At 36.0% G+C, this 17269-nt stretch overlaps 1 protein-coding gene across 22 annotated transcripts in view; it reads right to left on the reverse strand.

Moving 5' to 3' along the window:
- RALGAPA1 (Ral GTPase activating protein catalytic subunit alpha 1) overlaps nt 1–17269 on the reverse strand; it is a 270940-nt gene that overhangs the window by 52072 nt on the left and 201599 nt on the right. For 21 of the 22 annotated variants that reach the window (NM_194301.4, NM_001346246.2, NM_014990.3 and 18 more), the window contains 2 exons: nt 15159–15282; nt 5207–5362 (listed from right to left, as the gene is read on the reverse strand). In NM_194301.4, the coding sequence (NP_919277.2) occupies nt 5207–5362; nt 15159–15282 (280 nt within the window). Of the gene's footprint in view, nt 1–5158; nt 5167–5206; nt 5363–15158; nt 15283–17269 lie in introns of all 22 variants that reach the window. The other variant, XM_017021143.3, reaches the window with a different exon arrangement.

A 17269-nucleotide genomic window follows, 5' to 3' on the forward strand; every position in this document is an offset into this window, starting at 1 on the left:
GAGAGAGGAACCTGGTGGGAGGTGATTGGATCATGGTGGCAGTTTTCCCTATGCTGTTCTAGTGGTAGTGAGTTCTCATGAAAGCTGATGGTTTTATAAGGGTTTGACAGTTACTCCTTCACATGCTCACACTCCGTGGCCTGCCGCCATGTAAGATGTGCCTGATTCCCCTTCTACCATGATTTTAAGTCTCCTGAGCCCTCCCCAGCCATATGGAACTGTGAGTCAATTAAACCTCTTTTCTTTATAAATTACCCAGTCTCAGTATTCTTTATAGCAATGTGAAAACAGACCAATACAGTAGTCAATCAAATCTTATAAAAGATTTGTAAAGAGTCCTAAACTTCCTTTTAAAAACAGTATGTTAATAACCCTGTTTCAAAGCTTATTAGTGAAGTGCGAAGAGCTTTGATATCAGGCAACAGAGTATCAAGTGAAATGGCTGATCATGTTCAGTTGGTTACATTTAGTAATAGTTTTGGATAAACTGAGGATAGGATTTTCAATAGAAACCCTGGGGCAAAAACAAACAAACTGAGAAGAAAGAGGAGAAGGAAGAGGTAAAGGAGAAATGTTGGATAAAGTTTTACTTTTAAAAATGTTTCTCACAAAACCAAATATGAGTTGAATACATAAAACTGTACTCTGAGGTATCTCTGTAGCTACAATGACTTTTCCATGGCTGTGTGAGATACAGCAAAATGGTGGTGTAAATTTTAACAGTTGTGGACCATCAATATCATTCTATGATACCCCTTACAGATTCTAAGGTAGCAAGATTTATTTCAATTAAGTAACACTTATTTGTTACATTAGTTTTAGCTCAAATGTATAGGATACAGCATGTTATATTTTAAGTGCTATGTATGTATGTATGTATGTATGTATGTATGTATGTGTTTTTCTGAGTCAGGGTCTCACTTGGTCATCTAGGTTGGAGTGTAGTGGTGTGACCATGGCACACTGTAGCCTGGACATCCCAGGCTCAAGCAATCCTCCCACAGTAGCCTCCTGAGTAATTGGGACTATAGGCACATGCTACCATGCCTGGCTAATTTTTAAATTTTTGGCAGGGGGTCTTGCTATGTTACTCAGGTTGGTCTCAAACTCTTGGGCTGAAGCAATCCTTCCACCTTGGCCTCCCAAAGTGCTGGGATTACAGGCATAAGCAAGCCACCACACCTGGCCTGGAATAATTTCTGTTTTATTTTTTCCTCTCCCTCAATCAATATAAACATTGTATCAGAGTCCATGTACTAAGGGCCTTGAAATATAATTTTACCAATGTAAACAAACACAGAAATCTTTCAATTTGTTATATCCCTTGATACAGTTTGGCTCTGTGTCTCCAACTAAATCTCATCTCAAATTGTAATCCACATGTGTCAAGGGAGGAACCTGGTGGGAGGTGACTGGATTATGGGGAAGGTTTCACCTGTACTGTTCTTGTGATAGAGAATGAGTTCTCATGAGAGCTGATGGTTTTAAAGTGTGGCACTTCCCCTTTGTTCGCTCTCTTGCCTGCAGCCATGTAAGATGTACCTTGCTTCCCCTTTGCCTTTTGCCACGATTGTAAGTTTCCTGAGGCCTCTCCAGCCTTGTGGAACTGTGAGTCAATTACACCTCTTTTGTTTATAAATCACCCAGTCTCAGGCAGTTTCTTTATAGCAGTGTGAAAACAGACTAATATATCCCTATTTTCTTGAAGGTAAATCCTTTGTTAAGACTGTAACCAATCAGAAATGAAAGTGAAGACATTACAACAGGCACTTCAGAAATAAGAAGGATTATAAAGGACTATTATAAACAACTGTATGCCAACAAATTGGATAACCTAGAGGAAATGGATAAGTTTCTAGAATAAAACAGCCTACCAAAATTGAATCAGGAAGAAATGGAAAGTCTGAACAGACCAATAACAAAGAGATTGAAGAATTAATTAGAAACCTTTAACAAAAAGCCCAGAACTAGACAGCTTCACAGCTGAATTCTACCAAACATTCAAAGAATTATTACCAATATTTAAACTCTTCCAAAAAACAGAGTGAAGGGGAATACTTCCAAACATTTTATAAAGCCAGCATCCCCTCGATCCCTAAGCTAGACAGACACCAGAAGGAAAGAAAACTACAGGTCAATTTCTCTGATGAACACTGATGCAAAAATCCTCAATAAAATATTAGCAAACTGAACCAATCCAACAACATATCAAAAAGATTATACACCCAGACGAAGTGGGACTTATCCCTGGCATGCGAGGCTGATTTAACACACACAAATCAATTGATGTGATACACCACATTAACAGAATAACAGTTAAAAACTATGTGATCATCTCAATTGACGTAGAAAAAGCATTCAACTAAGTCCAATATCATTTATTGAGTAAAACTCTTGACAGTTTAGGTATAGAAGGAAAGTTCTTCAACACAATAAAGGTAACTTATGAAAAACTCATCACTAACATTATAACCAATGAGGAAAAATCGAAAGCTTTTCTATTAACATCTGATACAGGGAAAGGATGCCCACTTTTGCTGCACCTATTCAAGATAGTACTGGAAGTACTAGCAAGAACAACCAGAGAAGAAAAAGAAATATAAGGCATCCAAATCAGAACAGAAAAAGTGAAATTATCTTTATTTGCAGATGACATGATATGCTATGTAGAAAGCCCCTGAGATTCCACAAAAACAGTGTTACAACTAACATATGAATTCAGTAATGGTGCAGGATACAAAATCAACATACAAAAATTGCTAGCATTTCTATATACAAATTATGACTTAGCTGAAAAATCAAGAAAACAATCCTATTTATGATACCATAAACATACTTAGAAATAAATTAACCAAGGAGGTGAAAGATTTATACTCTGAAAACTATAAAACATTGATGATAGAAATTTAAAACACAATGAAATGGAAAGATATCTTGGATTGAAATAATTAATATTGTTAAAATGTTCATACTACCCAAAGAAATATATAAATTTAATGGAATCCCCATAAAAACTCCAATGGCATTTTTCACAGAAATAGAAAAATCAATTCTAAAATTCGTATGGAACCACAAAAAACCCTCAAATGGCCAAAGCTAAACTGAGAAAAAAACACAAAGGGGCATCATATTCCCTGATTTAAAATTATATTACAGGCTGGGCACAGTGGCTTACACCTATAATCCCAGCATTATAGGCTGAAGAGGGATTGCTTGAGCTCAAAAGTTTGAGACCAGCCTGGGAAACATGGCAAAACCCCATCTCTTCCAAAAATAAATAAATTAGTCAGCGTGGTGGCGAGTGCCTATAGTTACAGCTACTCAGGAAGCTGAGGGAGAATCACTTGAGCCCAGAAGTTGAGGCTACAGTGAACTGTGATTGCACCACTGCATTCCAGCCTGGGTGAAAGAGTGAGACCCTGTCTCAAAAATAAATAAATAAAATATTATATTATATTATATTACAAAGCTACAGTCATCAGAATGGTACGGTACTGGCGTAAAAACAGAAGCATATACCAGTGGAACAAAACAGAGATCCCAGAAATAAATCCAAACATATACAGTAAACTAATTTTTCACAAGGGCACCAAGATCAACAGGGAAAGGATAGTCTCTTCAACATGGTCTTGGGAAAATGGCATTTCCACACGGAAAAGAATAAAACTGAATCCTTATCTTACACCATACACAAAAATCAACTTAAAATGGGGAAAAGACCAAAATATAAGACATGAAACCTAGAAGAGGACATAGAAGAAAAGCTCCTTGATACTGGCCTTGGCAATGATTTTTTGGACATCACACCAAAAGCTCAGGCTACAAATACAAAAATAAATAAATGGTACTACATAAAACTAAAAAGCTTCTGCAGAACAAAGGTAACAGTCAACAAAACGAAAAGGCACCCTACAGAGGGAAAACATATTTGCAAACCGCTTATCTATTAAGGGATTAATATCTAAAATTTATAAGGGTCTTATAAGTCAATAGCAGAAAAGCAAATAAACGGATTAAAAACTGGACCTAAACAGACATTTATTCAAAAACATAAAAACATTATTGAGGACCTAAACAGACATTTATTCAAAAATGGTGAACTGGTATATGAAAAGGCTCAACAATCTCATTAATCATCACAGAAATGCAAATTAAAACCACTATGAGATATCACTTTATACTCATTAGAATGCTATTGCCAAAAAGGTAAGAGATAACAAACATCGGTAAGGATGTGGAGAAAGGGGAACACTAGTACACTGTTGGTAGAAATGTAGACTGTACAGCAATTATGAAAAAAAAAAAAAAAGTACGGAGGTTCTTAAAGAAATTAAACATAGAACTACCATATGACCTAGCAAACCTTTTTCTGGGCATATACTCAAAGGAAATGAAATCACCACCTCCTCAGGATATCTGCATTCCTATGTTCACTGCAGTATTATTCACAATAACCAAGATATGCAAAACTGTCCATCAATGTACAAATTGATAAACTGTGGTATATATGCATACAATGTAATATTATTCAACCTTAAAAAAGGAGATTCTGCCACTTGCTACACATGAATGGACTTGGAGGACACTATGTGTCCTAAGTGAAATAAGCCAGACAAAGAAAGAAAAAATATTGCATGGTATCACTTATATGTGGAATCTAAAAAAAAAAAACAAAGGAGAAAATATACAGAGATAGAGAATAACACAGTGGTTACCAGGGGTGGAGTGGGGTATGAAATTGGGACAAGGAGCTCAAAGGATACAAAGTAGCAGATATGTAGGATGAACAAGTCTAGAGATTTAACGCACAATAAAAATTGTATGGTATTTGGAATTTTGTAGATTTTAGCTGTTCTTGTCATACACACATAAAAAAACTAGATGAGATGATAGATATGTTAATTTGCTTCAATATAGTAACCGTTTTATTATCTATATGTATCCCACAACATTTCATGTTGTAAACCCTAAATATACACAATAAACTTTATTTTAAAAAAAGACTGCAACCTTTAACCATATCATTGTTTCTTAAAGAAAACATAGTTTGCTGTACAACCACCCTATTTTCAAGACAGCACTGGGTGGAGTGGTGTACTACAACCAGAAACAGTGCTTGATCAATTCGATTTCTTACTTACGTATTTTCTGTATTAACTGTCTCAATTATGAGCATTTTAATTTGAAAGCACTTCTCAGCACTTACTTTTTTGGTCAAAGAATCATCAGAATCAGAAGGCATTCTTGTTGACACGTGAAATATTACCTCTACTGTAGAGGTAGCAAAATATGGAGTGGTCAATCCAGTGCTTTTGTTTTTTTGTAGTCCTCCCATAAAACCACAATGGTTTGTAAGATTTACCTAGAAGTAATGAAGAGTCACATAAATTAATTAAACAAAACCCAAATACACTACAGAGAAAGACTCAAACTTCTTGCTTAAGAAAAAAATTGGGAACAAAGTCTTTTGCATGTTATCAACCAATATTTAATCTAGAATTGTTAGAATTGATTTGTTTGTACTGGTACTTTTTAAGTATTTGAGGATTTCTAATTAGTAGGAGTTAACCAGGAAAGGTATCAACTGCTGTGTACTATGCATCTTTTGTTAGCCTACTAGGTGTTAATGGTAAATTATAAAGGCTGTCAGAGCACACCAAGGCCAGGGAGAAAAAGATCAAGTATGGAAATAGTTTGGGGAAAAGTTAAAATGGTAATATCAGTTTGACAAAATGATTAATTTGGTGTGTTGTATTTACTCATAAAACTGGCTTCCTGATTTGTTAGTACTTATTACAGTCCACAACAAAAATTAGAAATGCAGAACTTAATTACAGTTTAGTTACATTTAAAAAACAACAAGGTGACCTGTAAAAAGATTTTAAACAATTTTTATTTTCTGATTATAAATATAATACATGTTAATATCAGGGTTGTTGCATTGGATGATATTCCCCGGACCTGTGTGATGTACAGAAGCCAAGAATTTGTGTTCATTACAGAAAATTAGGGAAATACAGGAGAATAAAAAAAAATTGAAAATCGCCAGTATTTCCCTACTTAGAGAAAACCATTTATATATATGCTTTGCAATTAAAAAATGAGAATAACAGGTAAAATGGAGAATTACAAAAAAAATCCCTGCACCATATGAACTGAACACATGTCAAATATCAGTGTCAGTTACTAATGGCTGAATACATATATGATTGTTAGATTTTTGTGCCATTACTGTAAGATTACCTCAATCTCTTCCAGTTTAAAATTTATTTTTAACTCAGTAATACATTTACATAATTAAAAATTTTAAAGCATTAAAAAAGCACACCAAAATTCTTCCTTTCATGTCTCTCGCCTGCAACTACTCAGTTACCTTCTCAGAAAGCAATTTAAGTATCTTTAGAAAAATATTATCTGCATATATAATCAAATTCTTATATGTTTGTATGCACACATCCATTCACGTTAGTGTGCACATACACACAGTACATGCATATAAAACATTCTGCATCTTGCTTTTGGAATTAATATACCTTGAAAAACACTCCTTATTAGTAAGTAAAGAGATTCCTCATTTTTGGTTCCTGGCTTCACAGAAGTTCATTTTACTGAGGTACAATCATTTAGTCCCCTACTTGAAGGACATTTAGGTTGTTTTCTGTCTTTTGCTATCACAGTCAATGCTGCAGCAAATAACACTGAACTCATATCATGCTCCATTTGTGAAAGTACAGCTACGGACAAATAGTTAAACGTGAAACTTTAAGTCAAAGGGCATGTGGACTTCTAATTTCAAAACACACTACCAAGTTGCCCTCCACAGATGCCACCAACAATGTATGAGAATGCCCGTTTCCCTCATAGCCTTTGAAATATAGTATATTATCACACTTTATGATCTTTGCTAATCTGATAGGTGACAAATGGTATCTCCAGGTAGATTTTTTGTTTTGTTTTACTTTAGTTCAGAAAGTTACTTATTTTCAAGTCAATTCTCTGATAATGTAAAGGAGAAAGTCTCAGTTTAGTGTTCCTTTGCTGTAAACACTTCACATTTGCTGATCTCTATTGTTTAAATTAAACATCTGGAGAGTCATATGAAGAAATGAAAAAAATAAAAAGAAATCCCATGTACACTTTACCCAGAGCCCCCCAGTGCAAAACTCTATCACCACCAGGATACTGACGACATTGATATAGTTAAGAGAGCATGTTCAAAAATTCAAGAATCCCCCATATTGCCCTCTTATGTGAGCCATACCCACTTCACTCCTACTCTATCCCCTCCTTAACCCCTGGCAATCACTCACTCATCTGTTCTTCACTTCTATAACTATCATTTCAAGAATGTTGTACGAATTAAAGGACATAGGATGTAACCTTTTCAAGTGTTTGGAGATTTTCCTGTTATCTTTTTGTTAATGATTTCAAGTTTGATTCCATTGGGGTTCAAGGACATACTCTATTATTTCAATGCTTTTAAATTTGTTGAGGCTTGTTTTATGGCCCAGGATATGATCTGTCTTGGTATATGTTCTGTGGGAACTTGAAAATAACGTATATTCTGCCATTGTTGGGTGGAATATTTTACATATGTAGATTAGATCTTGTTGGTAGCTGCTGTTGTTGAATTCCTCCATATACTTGCTGATTTTGTCTAGTTTTCCTCTTAACTGTTGAGGAGTGAAGTCTCCAACCATAATTGTGAATTTCTCTATTTCTTCTTTCAGTTCTATCAGCTTTAGTGTCACATATTTTGTAGCTCTGTTATTTGGTGCACATGTATTTAGCATTGCTATGTCTTCTTGGTGAACTGATCCTTCTATAATTATATAATGTCCTTCTGGTCTCCAGTAATTCTCTTTGCTCTAAAGTTGATCTGATATTAATGCAGTCACTCTGGCTTTTCTTTGATTGATGTTTGCACAATATAACTTTTTCTATCCTTTTACTTTCTGCCAGTCTATATTGTTTTATATATATATATTTTATTTATTTATTTATTTTTTGAGATGGAGTCTCGCTCTTGTCACCCAGGCTGGAGTGCAGTGGCGTGATCTTGGCTCACTGCAACCTCCGCCTCCTGGGTTCAAGCAATTCTCCTGCCTCAGCCTCCTGAGTAGCTGGGATTACAGGTGTCTGCCACCACGCCCGGCTAATTTTTGCACTTTTAGTAGAGAGGGGGTTTCGCCATGTTGGCCAGGCTGGTCTCGAACTCCTGGCCTCAGGTGATCTGCCCACCTTGGCCTCCCAAAGTGTTGGGATTACAAGCATGAGCCACCGTGCCCAGCCTATATTCTTATATTTCAAGTGAGTTTCTTTTAGGTAACACATAGGTGGGTCATATTTTTTAATCCACTCTGCTAATCTCTGTCTTTTAATTGGTACATTTAGATCATTTATATTTCATGTAATTATTGACAGGTTAGGGCTTAAGCTTGCCATCTTATTTTCTGTTTTCTGTTTTTCATTTCTCTGTTTTATTTTTCCTGCCTCCTGTGGCTAACTTGAACATTTTCTAGAACTCTGTTTTTAACTATCATTCTTTTGAGTGTACACTGTTGTACAGTTTTGTAGTGGTTGCTCTATGTCTTACATTATATATACATAACTTATCACAGCCTACTAGTGTTGTCATTTTACCAGTTTAAGTAAAGTAACCCTACCTTACTATATGTTCCTTTACCATCCCTGTTTGAAATATAGTTGTCATAAATATTTCCTCTACATATATTTGAAAACACATTAGACAGTGTTATAATTTTTGCTTCAACAGTCAAAAATAATTAAGACAACTCAAGATGAGAAAGCACAGTGATTGTATCTATCCATTTTTTTCTTGCCATGGTCTGCCTTCCTGATGTTTCAAAATTCCTCCTTTTATCATTTCCTTTCTATTAATAAAACTGCTTTCAGTGATTGTTTTAGGGTAGGTCTGCTAGTAACAAGTTCTCTAAGTTTCTCTTCATTTGAGAATGTTTTGACCTTCTCTTCATTCCTGAAGGATATGTTTGCAAGCTATCAGATTCTGGGTCTGCTGGGCACAGTGGCTCATGCCTGTAATCCCAGCACTTTGGGAGGGGGAGGTGGGAGGATTGCCTGAGAACAGGAGTTTGAGACCAGCCTGGCCAACATGTTGAAACCCTGTCTCTACCAAAATTACAAAAAAAATTAGCTGGGTGTGGTGGCGCATGACTGTAATCCCAGCTTCGTCGGGAGGCTGAGGCACAAGAATCACTTGAACTCAGGAGGTGGTGGAGGTTGCAATGAGCCGAGATCATGCCACTGCACTCCAGCCTGAATGACAGAGTGAGACTCCACCTCAAAACAAACAGACAAAATAAACAAACAAAAAACAGATTCTGAGTTGACAGTTCTTTTTTCTTTCAGCACCTGGCTCCCACAGTTTCTGATAAGAAATTTGCTATCTCTTTAATAGTTTCCCCCCACAGATAAGGTACACTTTTTCTCTGGATGCTTTCAAGAATTTTTGTCTTTAGCTTTCAGAAATTAAATTATGATGTGTGTTACTATAGATTTCTTTTGATTTATCCTGTTTGGGTTTCACCGACCTTTTTGAATCTACAGCTTTATGTCTCTCACCAAATTTAGGAAGTTTTCAGCACTTTCTTCAAGTATTTCCAGTACTTTTTCAGACCCAGGCTCTTTCTCCTCTCCTTCTTGGACTCAGATAACAGAATGCTAGACTTTTTTTTTTTTTTGTTAATGTCCCTCAGGTCCCTGATGCTCTGTTCATTATTTTTAGGTTTCTTTTCTTTTCCTTTTTTTTCTTTTTCTTTTTTTCTTTTTTTTTTTTTTTTTGAGACAGGGTCTGCTCTATCACCCAGGCTGGAGAGCAGTGACATGATCTTTACTCACTGTAACCTCCACCTCCGGGACTCAAGCAATCCTCCCATCTCATCTTCTCAAGTAGCTGGGATCACAGTTGCCTGCCACCACACCTGGTTAATTTTTGTATATTTTTGGAGAGATGGGATCTCACTATGTTGCCCAGGCTGGTCTCAAAACTCCTGGCTCAAGCAATCTCCAGCTTCAGCCTCACAAAATGCTAGGGTTACAGGTGTAAGCCACCATGCCCAGCCTAAGTTTGTTTTCTGTGCTGTTTAGGCTGTTTCTACTGTTTTATCTTCCAGTTTACTGATTCTTCTGTACCCCCATTCCCACTCCACTTGGTTGTTGGGTACAACTACATAGCCTTTTATTTCAGTTATTACATTTTTCACTCTAAAACTTTCATTTGGTTGTTCTTTACATTTTCTATTTCTTTGCTGAGACTATTTTTCATTTGTTTCAATTGTGTTACCAATTACTTACTGAAGCATTTCTATCAAGGTTGTTTTAAATATTTGTAATCTTGGTGTGGGCATCTGCTGTCTTTTTTTAAAATTCATTTTGAGATTTTCCTGGTTCTGGATATGATGTGTAATTTTTTATTGAAATGTACACATTTTCATAAGACTCTGGATCTTATTTAAAATTCCTGTTTTAGCTGGTTGTTTGAAGACTCTGCTGTATGCGGGAAAAGAGCAGAGAATCAGGTGAAAGTGCTGACTTGTTTCTGTCAGGTGGAGGTAAAATTATATGTTCCCTACTCAATCTCTGTTGACACCTGGGAAACAGGGAAGATCCTCATTACTGATATGTGGAAGCAGGAGTTCTGGCTTCCTATGTGATGTTCACTGACACAGTCGTAAGGGTGACCTCACTACTGCTGGGTGATGGTAAAAGTCCCAATTCTCCATGAGGCCTCCTCTGAAATGACTCCAGTGGACAGCAGGTGCCTCAGTAATATTGGTGGCGATGGAATTCTACATTTCCCATGTAGTCTCCACTGACTCTTGGGTGTGAATGGGAGACTCATTACCAACTGGTAGACATGAAAGTCTTGGATTTCTACTTGGCCTTCTCTGGCACTATTTGATACTAGCCCAGTGTGGTGTTGGGGGCACCTCATTACAGCCTCATGAAGATGGAAGTCTAGGCTCCTTACCTGACCTTTGCTGTGAGGTTGGGGATGGGGTCAAGGAATTGTCTGTGGTGTTTGGCTACAGTAGTGCAGTTATTATCTAAATGTTTTTCTGTCTTTTTAGGTTGCTCCTTTCCTGGTCCTTTGGCTAGGAAGAGCAGGCTTTGGTTGGTGCTTTTTGTTTGCACCCATTGGTGTTTCTAGGTTGCTGACTTATTCAGCTCCAAGTCTGGGATATATGAGGCAAAAAAGAAAACCCAGAAAATGCGCCACTATGTCATTCTTCCGTCCTAAAGTCCCTAGTTATTCTGTCTTTTCTCCATCTTTCAGAGTCTTCTTATGCTTGTTTTATATGTAATGTCTTATGCTTATTGTACTCAGTAGGAAGAATACAGAAAGTATATCTATTTGACTTTCCCAGAAGTGGAAATCTCCTCTGTACAATTTAATGGATTTCAGGATATTCACAGTTAAGTGCAATCATCACTACAGTCAATTATAGAACATCTTCATCATTTCCCAAAGAAACCCCATATCTTTTAGTTGTCACCCCCCTCCTCCCTCATGCCCTTAACTAGCCCTAAGCAACCATTAACCTACTTTCTGTCTCTATAAATACACCTATTGTGGATATTACATATAAATGGACCATTAATATGTGATCTTGATGATTGGTTTCTTTCATTTAGCACAATGTTTTCAAGGTACATTCATGCTGTAGCACATAATCACTTTCTTCCTTTTTATGACCGAATAATATTCCCTTTTATTGGATACACCACAGTTTAGCCATTCATCCATTGATGGACATCTGGGTTGTTTCTACCGTTTTGCTAGAGTAAATAATGCTGCCAAGAACATTCATGGCCAGGCTTTTGCATGGACATATGCTTTCATTTCCCTTGGGTATATACTTTGGGGGTAGAACTGTTTGGTCACATGGCAACTCAACATTTAACTGTTTGATGAACTGCCAGAATGTTTTCCACAGTGGCTGCACATTTTACATACCTACTAGCAGTGTATGAGGGTTCAGATTGCTCCTAATCCTAGCCAACAGTTGTTATTACCTGACTTTCTGATTATAGTTATCTTAATGGGTGTGAAATGATACCTACTATGGTTTTGATTTGCATTTCTCTGACAGCAAAGGATGTTGAGCACCTTTTCATGTGCTTATTGGTCATATATCTTTTCTGGCGAAATGTCTATTAGGTCCTTTGATCATTTTTTAGTTGGGTATCTTCTAATCATTGATTTGTACAACTAGTTTGTATATTCTAGATACTAGTCTCTTATCAGACTTCACCTTGAAGCACAAAAATTTTAATTTTAATAAAGTACAATTATCTGGTTTTGTCTTTGTTGCTCATGATTTGTGTCTTATCTAAAAATCCTTTGCAAAATCCAAGATAATGAGGATTTATTCCTATATTTTCTTCTAAAGTTTTAAAATTCTAGGTCTTAACATTTAGGTCTGTGATCCATTTGGAGTTAATTTTTGTATATGGTATGGGGTAAGAGTCTGGTTTCATTCTTTGCATATGGCTCATGGTCTCAGCACCATTTGTTGAAAAGACTATTCTTTCTCCATTGGATGGTTGTGGCACCCTTGTCAAAAACGGCTGACCACAAATATGGGGTCTATTTGTGGACTCTCAGTTCTATTCCACTGATCTATATGTCTATCCTTGTACCAGCAGTACCACACTATCTTCTTTTTCTTTTTCCTAAGTTCTGCCCCAGGATCTATCCACACTACCTTGATTAGCATTGCTGTGTAGTAAGTTTTGAAATCAAGAAGTGTAAATCTTCCTAACTTGTTCTTTTTCATGTCTCCCTTACTTTTACTAATACTTTTATGGTATTTTACTTTTTTTAACAGAAAATCTACTTAGGATGTTTTTTATACTTTTCAAAGCATTTTCACATACATAAGCTCAATTGAACTTCACATCATCTCTGTTGGGTAAAAAAGTATACTACACGTTTGACAAATAACCAAAGAGGCAAAAAGAGCTTAAATAACTCACTTAAGGTAAAACAGCAGGTTAATATCATCCATCAATTCCACTACTGGGTATTTATTCAAAGAAAAGGAAATCAGTATATCAAACAGATACCTGCACTGCCATATTTATTGCAGCTTTATTCACAACAGCCAAGATATGGAAATAACGTAAATATCCATCAACAGATGAATGAATAAAGAAAATGTGGTATGCATACACAATGCAATACTATTCAGCCATAAAAAGGAATGGAATCCTATCATTTGCAGAAGCATGGATAGAATTGGAGGTCATTATAAGACAAATAAACCAGACACAGAAAGACAAACATAACATGTTCTCACTCATATGTGGGAGCTAAAAAAGTTGATTTCATGGAGGTAAAGAATAGAATGACAGTTACCAGAGGCAGGTGAAGGTGGTGGTTGTGGTGTGGAGATGAAGATAGGCTGGCTAATGAATACGAAACATATAGTGAGATAGAAGGAATAAGTCCTACTGTTCAATAGCACATTAGCATGACTGTAGTTAACAATAATATATTATGTCAGAATAGCTAGAAGAGGAGATTTGAAATGTTCCCAACACAAACAAATGATAAATGTTTGAAGTGATGGGTATCCTAAATACCCTGAACTGATCACTACACATTGTATGCACTTACCAAAATTATATGTTCCACATAAATATGTACAATTATTATGTAGCAATAAAAATTTTTAAAAGAAATGAAGTCAGTAAAAACATACTGATCTAAATACTACCAACAACCACCTTGACCTAATTGACATACCTAGTTCATTACACTCAATAACGACAGAGTATACACATTGTTTTCAAGGGAACAGGGTACCTATACTGGGTTATATTATATTTCAAAATACTGATATCTTACAGAGTATATTCTGTGATCACAATGGTATAGAATTAGGTATCAATAACGATATCTAGAAAAAACTCACATATTTTGAAATTAAACTACACATTTATAAATAAGCTATGTATCCCAAGGAAAAAATAATAAAAAAATAGGTTAGATTAGCCATAAAAATCTATATAAAACACTAAAGGCTGACATATCAGACACTGTGAAAGGCACTGAGAATTAAAAAAAAAAATCACTGAGATGAAAATGCCTGCCCTCTAGAAGCTTATAGTCTAATGCAGTGCTCTTTAACAATTTTGCTCATATACTCTCTATAGCAATTTTGGAAAACTATTAAATTGAAAACTGTAATAATAATTTTTATCAAAAGTTTAAATGGTAGCCAAGGATACAATTTCCAGTGTACTATATAATAAATATATGTGCTTTAAGTGTATTTTCATCAAAATCTTGGAGCTACAGATTTGGCTGATTCAATATATGTAAAATGTCTGGTATTAAACTGATCACAAGCCAATTACCCACATCAGATTTACTTTCTGTTAGAACATGTCTGGTACTTCATTTTTCAATTCAAATAAACATACTTATACAAATCCTTATGACAAATACCCACCTTCTGAGTTATAATTCTAAGACAGACAGATTTGGTACAGGAACCTTGACATGGGTTGGTTTCTTGAATGACATAAAGTATAATACCTTTCAATATTTCTTGCTTTGCTGACAGGGACTTTCTCCTAAAAGTATACCCACTAGAACTGTCTATTTTGTTGGTGCTAAAACCCTCTGGGACAATGTAGGATTTGGGATGGGTAAGCAGTATGCTTTTCTTTTACAAAGTAAATGAGAGACAAGAGACTGTAGAAGGGTTTTCTGGCATTAGTTTTGGTAAACTTGAGGATCTGGAAGCTAATTTCCTCAAAACTGTGTATACCCACACATTCCTGGAAAGCCTTTGTGTAGCCATTAGGTCCTAGTTTGAAGACCACCAGTCCAGTGGTCACAGCTGTAAGGAAAATCCAGATCTTATAAACCTATGAGTTTAGTACTCTTTCACAATATACTGTCTCATAAAATAGTCAACATCTTTCCTTTCAAAGTCCCAACTGCTGCTGTATGTGCAGACAAAATGGAAGGCAGAAACAATAACAAACTAGTTGTTAAGTTGTTGTATCTCCTAAAATAATACTTCTATAATAAGCTAGGAAAAAAAAGAAAAATAAGCTTATGCTTCCAAATATAAATATTTCGTATAATTTAAAAATAATACCTCCCAACCAAGACCAGCTACAAAATCTTCATATGCTTGACTTCCTCCTGTATTGGTGAGAATGGAGTGTTTGTCTTCTTGTCCTTCAGCAACATAAAATACTGCAATCTTGTGTGTCTCTCGGCTATAAAACAAAAGATTACACCATTAATTTAATCACTATTTTATCTACTCATTCATCCAACAATTAAGTTCTATGTACAAAGTATGTAGCAATAAAAAGATGAAAAAGAATTAGATCTTATAGTCTACAGAAGGAGATATAAATGCAATGTAAGTAAAAAATTACTACAAAATTGCCATTAGAATAAAAGACAGGCACGATCACTTTTGACTGCAAAAACAGAAACTTAAAGGAGAAGATAAAATTGAGTTAGATGAAGGTAAGAAAGATTTGACAAATGAAGAGAAAGAGCATCAGGAAGGACACATAGGTGTGAATACATAAGCATCTTAAGAGTTGTCTGTTTTGCAATGTAGCCGAATCCCATGGTTGAAGGGACTGCATTTTAGAACTAAGTAGGAGTACAGAGATGAGTGAGAAAGGACCCAATCCTTCAAAGTACTTACGAGGTAGAAGAAGAAACACACACAGTTATGTGTTGCTTAACAACAGGGATAAATTCTGAGAAATGTGTCTTTAGGCAATTCTGTTATTGTGTGAACATTATAGATGTACTCACATAAACCTAGATGGTACAGCCTACTACACAACCTTGGCTATCAGGTATATCCTATTGTTGCTAAGCTACAAATCTGTACAACATGTTACTGTAGGAATACTGTAGGCAATTATGACATACTGTTAAGTATGTGTGTGTGTAAATACACCTAAACAGAAAGGGTGCAGCAAAAATAAGGTATTATAATCTTATGAGACTACTGTCATATATGTGGTCCATTGTTGATGAAAGCATAGTTATGCAGCTTGGTTTACAAATATAAAACTGTATGGAGTAATAGCCAAGTTCTTAGACATTTTATTTTTAGTCCTCTCTAAAATTAAAAATGTTTATAAAAGCACATTTCTTGTTTGAAATTTAGCTTTGAAATTTGGCTTTCCAAGCTAACTAAGTCATGCTACATTTACTTTAGGTTGATTTAACAAAGCTTGGGTTAAAAAACTTTAAGACCATTAGTAAAGTTTTCACTACTATACCATGTAGGAATTAAAAAAAAAAAAAACCCTGCAACAACAAGTAAATAAGGATTAAAGTTCTTTAAAGAATTTAGTCTGACAACCAAATTTTCCCACACGTCTGGAGTAAGTTACCAAATCATGATAGTGGGTTGAATATCAGCAAGAAAGATGTTTTAGCTGCTTTCAATAATGGAATATTTTACTTTAGGTGATGAGCACATAGGCAAACTTTCAGTGCGTCAGATGTATCAGTAGGATATGCTAGTGTAAGCAGTAAAATATGATTTGGGGTTGGGTAGACTTCCAAAGCTGCAGAATAAGGGTCTACACAGCCTCTCTCCCAAGCAAAACACAGCTTATCTGCTGAAAAAATTTAAAACATTATTTAAAGTCCCTGTATATTGTCCTAAAGTCATAGAGCAAACAGGGAAATATTCATTCAAGGAAACTCACTAAATCTCAGTAACAACACAGAGCTTTTGATATATGAATTACAACTTGTTTCCTTGCCCCACTCCCTCAGCTCAATGTTGCAGAAGTTTTGCCCTGGGCATTCTACTCAGGCCTAGAAGACAGAGGTTCCCTCTCTCTCCAGCTTCCAATCTGGAGCTATGGCTTCATCAGGGAAGAGACAGGTTACTAGAGGCATTTCTCATCCTTCTCTAGCCCCATGTTACAGAAGATCTATTTTAGATAGGTGTGGCTGAAAGAACCAGGTCTGCTCTCCCTCCCTCCCTCTCTTAGGGCAGAAGCTCCAGGAACAAAACGTTGAGAGTCTCAATCTTCCCCATTCTAGCTTGCTCATAGGGTAGAGATTCTGCCAGAAGAGCGAGCTAAGACCAGGGACTGCCAACTCCTCCCAAGTGCTGACTTGTAGAGTGACACTGCCACTCCAGGAAAAGCTGGTCCGTGACCCCAGGTCAGGTTGTAGTGAGAGATAGGTTTTGCCTAAGGTGAAAAGCAGGTTATA

This window comes from Homo sapiens, chromosome 14, assembly GCF_000001405.40.
Source record: "Homo sapiens chromosome 14, GRCh38.p14 Primary Assembly".
Lineage (NCBI taxonomy): Eukaryota > Metazoa > Chordata > Mammalia > Primates > Hominidae > Homo > Homo sapiens.